Consider the following 4591-nt stretch of genomic DNA (forward strand, 5'->3'; position numbering starts at 1 on the left):
AAGTGATATAGCATGAGAAATGTTAAATGTAGGCAAAGGAGGCTCTGAAGATCATGAGGCCATGGAAAAATTTTTTAAATACCTGCTAAGTAGTATTATACAGGAAGATTTATGTGGAAGAGCAGGTCGTCAAAGCTGATAACACTGGCTCATCTTACAAGAAGTTGTCAAACAAACTTATATAATGCCAACAGAATCTTGGCTGATAAAATTGTTGTGACCAGAGGTTTTCAGAACCACATCCTATATTTCCCTGTGTAGCAATAGTTCACTATTCATTACTTCAGCATTCTTAGCAATTTATAGAGCATAGCTACCACAAATAACAAGAATTGACTGTTTTGAATCATCTGTGGATCTGTTTTTATCATTTGTCTTTCCCCTTGGTTATTGATCACATGGTCCTGTTTCTACATCCCTAGTAAATCATTACTATTTAAATATCTTTAAAACACTGCAGAGTTTCAGCTGATCTTATCTTTCACAGGTAGATTCGCCCTTTCCTCTGATGGGCAAATGGATGTCAGGAGGCTGGGATGGGGTGGCTAATTTCCTTATTCCGGTCAGGGACTGAATGGGTCAAGCCTGGGCTACACTTTTCATAATTATCAGCCTCAATCTAATTTCCTCCTATTGTTAGGTTGTGGCCATCAGGAAACTTAATTGAGAGCCCAACTTTCTTTTTTTTTTAGTACTGAGTAACTGCAGAATTTTTTGCTCTACTTTAAGGAGATTTTTGGCTTTGCATCTTGACTCACCACTTTTTATAACTTCAGAATTTGGCAAAGGTATTGAAGAGGATATTGGTTATATGTTTGAGGCTCCTCAAATCTTCAATTTTGTCACTTCAGCCCACTATGACTGCCAAAATCCAATTCTGCTAGTTTATCTCTCCCATAGCAGTGGCCCTTTGCCAAGGCCAAACCTGGATTTGCAGATTTTAGATGTGCTCAGATTAGCAAGTGCTCAGGGGGAAAACAGTTGCAGATAGTAAATGTTGCTTCATGACTCCCTTGAGGGCTGTATTCATTTGCTAGGGCTGCCATAACAAAGTGCCACAGACTGGGTGGTTTAAACAACAGAAATGTATTTTCTTTCAATTCTGGAGGCTAGAAGTCTGAGATTAAGGTATCAGCAGGGTTGGTATCTTGTAAGGTCTCTCTCCTTAGCTTGTAGATGGCTGTCTTCTCCCTTTGTCTTCATGTGGTCTTCCATTTGTACCTGTGTCTGTGCCCAAATATTTTCTTCTTGTTTTTTTTTTTTTTTTTTTTTTTTTTTTTAGATGAGTGTGTCTCTCTCCTATGTTACTTGGGGCTGATCTGGAACTCCTGGCCTCAAGAAATCCTTCCACCTCAGCCTCCTGAGTAGTACAGATTACAGGCATGAGCCACCATTCTGGGTTCCTAATTTCCTCTTCTTAGGAGGAAACTAGTCATATTGGATTAGGGGCCATTCTGATGATCTTATTTTAATTATCTTTTTAAAGATACTGTCTCCAAATCCAGTCACATTCTGAAATACTGGGGGTTAGGGTTTCAACATATGAATTCAGAGGAGTCACAATTCAGTCTGTTACAGGTGACAGGTATCCCAGTTACTGGTGGCAAATTCCAAACAGGTCTGTGGCAACCTCAATTCTTGCCTCCTCAGAAAAAAGAATTCAACTGAGGGGCGTAAGGCAGAGAAAGAGATCCAGGCAAGTTTCAGAGCAGAAGTGGACGTTTATTTAAAAAGGCTTTAGACCAGGAAAGAAAGGCACGTGTGCCTGGAAGAGTCCCAACTGGGGATGTGAAGGTCAAGTGTGGTGTTTAAACTTATCTTAGGACTTTAGAGGCTGGCTCCTTTCCCATGATGCTTCCCTTAGGGTGGGCTGCCCATATGTGCAGTGCCCTCCTTACCCTGGCAGGTGAGCACAAGCAGTGTGTTTAGGGCAGTTGTACGCGTGCTGTTTTTATCATTTATCTTTCCCCCTTGGTTATTGATCACATGGTCCTGTGATCAATAGAAAGCCTCCCCACCTAAGGGTTTCTTCCCTTTTCTGGTGGAGTGTCCTGGAAGGTCATACTCTGCCATTTTGTCTCTTAGTGCACAGGCCTGGGCAGCTGCTTCTCCCTGGCAACTGTATTCAATGAACACTTTAATGCCACAGATATGGACCATCAGGAAATGGCCTCTCCCTGGTGCTGGCTGCCAATTTATCACTTCTAGAGATGCAATGTAATGATTGCCAAACCATCACCTGACATTCCTAGTGGGTGGGGAAGAGCCCCAATCAAAGCCTAACTACCTGTAAGAAGTCCATAATACTCCTGGTCTATAATTTCTCAGAGCCCATTCTCATAGTGGTTCCTTGTCTCCTAGGCACTGCAAGACTGTGGGAAATTCTACTGTTCTTTTCAGAGTTTGGATTGTTAACCAAAAAGAATTTGAGACAGGTCCCAATCAATTTAGAGGTTTATTTTGCCAAGGTTGAGAACCATGTCCTATGACACAACCTCAGGAGGTCCTGAGAACATGTGTCCAAGGTGGTTTAGTTACAGCTTGATTTTATACATTTTAGGGAAATGGAAGTTATAGGTAAAGACATAAATCAATAAATGAAAAGTATACACTGGTTTGGCCCAGAAAAAGGGACGTCTCTGAGCAGGGGCTCCCAGGTCATAGGTGGATTCAAAGATTTCCTGATTGGCAGCTAGTTGAAAGAGTTAAACTCTGCCTGAAGAGTTGAAGTCAGCATAAAGAGATGCTTGAGTTAAGGTAAGGTGGGGCAGAGACAGGGGGAAGCCAAGGTTCTTGTCATGTAAATGAAGCCTTCAGGTAGCAAGCTTTAGAGAAAGAGATTGCTTTCCAAGCCTTAAAAGATGTCAGACTCTTCAGAAAAGACCTAGTAATGACGAGATTCTCTATAGAATGCAAATTTCCCCCACCAGAGACACTTTGCACGACCATTCAAAATATATCAAGGAAAAACATTTTGGGGTAAAATACTTTGATTTCCTTCTGTGCTTGCTCTCTGTCATGTGATGCTATACCAGAATCAGGTTGGAATTTGGTATCTTATTGCTACATAGAGTCTATTTTGCCAGGCTTAAGAGCTCTGTTTTAATGTTAATGCTTGTCAGTTACCTCTTAACTCCAAAGGGAGGAGGGTATAATGAGGCATGTCTGACCCCCTTTCCCATCATGGCCTGAACTAGTTTTTCCAGTTTCTTTCAGATCCTCTTGGCCAAGAGGGGGTCCATTCAGTCAGTTTAGGGGCTTAGAGTTTTATTTTTAGTATACAGGTCATAGTCCTTTCTCCTTCTGCTTCAAGCAGCTTCAACATTTAGCAAATGTCCTAAGAGAAAATGTTCTCAGTTTGAAGCCATTCCATTTCCCGTTTAAGTCACTGCATCCCTGTGCATCTGCTCCAAGCCTTATTGTATCACTTTCTTAGCTCTTGCCCTAGCATCATTGCTCTGCCTGGGCCAAGCCCAAATTTTCAGCCTCTGGCTCATGCCCAGAATTGGCAAAGGGCAGCTAAATCCTAGCTCACCTCTGCAGTGCTTTCCCCCATAGAATTTCACTGCTGCTAGTCTTCATTGTTTCTGCAGCACTCTAATGCCTTTACATATATACCTTTTGAAACTTATCAAGTTTTTCTTGTTCTTCATGGGAACATGGCTTGCATGAACTTCTCTGTCTTATCAGGAAACCAGGGCAGTGGTTGAGTTTAAGGAGGGATGAGTAGTAACTTACAGGTGTTATGAAGACAGTCTCTGACTTAACCTGGGAGTTGGAGTTGCAGAGGTGTGTTCATATTAAGAAATCCATTGAGTTGTCCACTTAGATATACATGTGCTGGAATGTGTGTTGTTTCTAATAAAATATATACTTTTCAAAAAGGAAAAGACAACATAGGAAAGAAAAATACAAAGCTATGTGCTAAATACAACTTTTCCAAAACTCAGTGAGAAAGTAGCTTTTATATAGAGGCTCTCATTCTTCTCCCAGTTTCTCTGCCCTTAAATACTCACTCTTCCTGTATCTTTTCCTGTGTAAAGTGCCACCCCTCTTGATGTGAGGTGATCAACAGCCCCATTCTCACTCTCTTATCCTGCCATTGGACAACTTCCCAAATCTGGGTCCTTGCATCAGGACTGGTTTCCTAGAAATTTGGCAGCATAAGTGGAGATACCTGTTGGTATTCCAGCATGGGAAGGGAATTTGGAGCTCCAAATCTCACAGGCTTAGGTGGGGGCAGGTATATCTTCCTGCTTGGTTTTTCTGACAGAATGATTTACAGGTACATCTGTTTAATTCATGGTACCTGTTAGTGTGTGCACATACTCCCATCTCTGAAGACATTATTAGTTCTCAGAGAAAGCAGATTCTTAAGCCGTAAGAGGAAAAATGTAGATACTCTAGTGCCTGTGAGCTGCAGAGCCCTTCCTTTTCCACAAAGTAAGTCCAATTATTATTCCTTCCTCCTTCCAGATTGAGACATAGGGGGCCTACCGGCATAAGAAAGAGACCATATGCCCCTTCATCAAGGCTCCCTCAATTACGCAAAGAGAAACTGCAAATGTCTACTCTAGAAAGAGCTCTTTCC

General features: G+C 41.8%; 1 annotated feature.

Moving 5' to 3' along the window:
- Positions 2407-3198: an enhancer, noted in NCBI's record as "NANOG hESC enhancer chr10:113265858-113266649 (GRCh37/hg19 assembly coordinates)". NCBI's record gives its function as "activates a minimal SCP1, AML or CMV promoter by ChIP-STARR-seq in primed H9 embryonic stem cells {active_cell/tissue: H9 hESC(primed)}" and the evidence as "EXISTENCE:reporter gene assay evidence [ECO:0000049][PMID:30033119]".

This window comes from Homo sapiens, chromosome 10 (assembly GCF_000001405.40).
Source record: "Homo sapiens chromosome 10, GRCh38.p14 Primary Assembly".
NCBI lineage: Eukaryota > Metazoa > Chordata > Mammalia > Primates > Hominidae > Homo > Homo sapiens.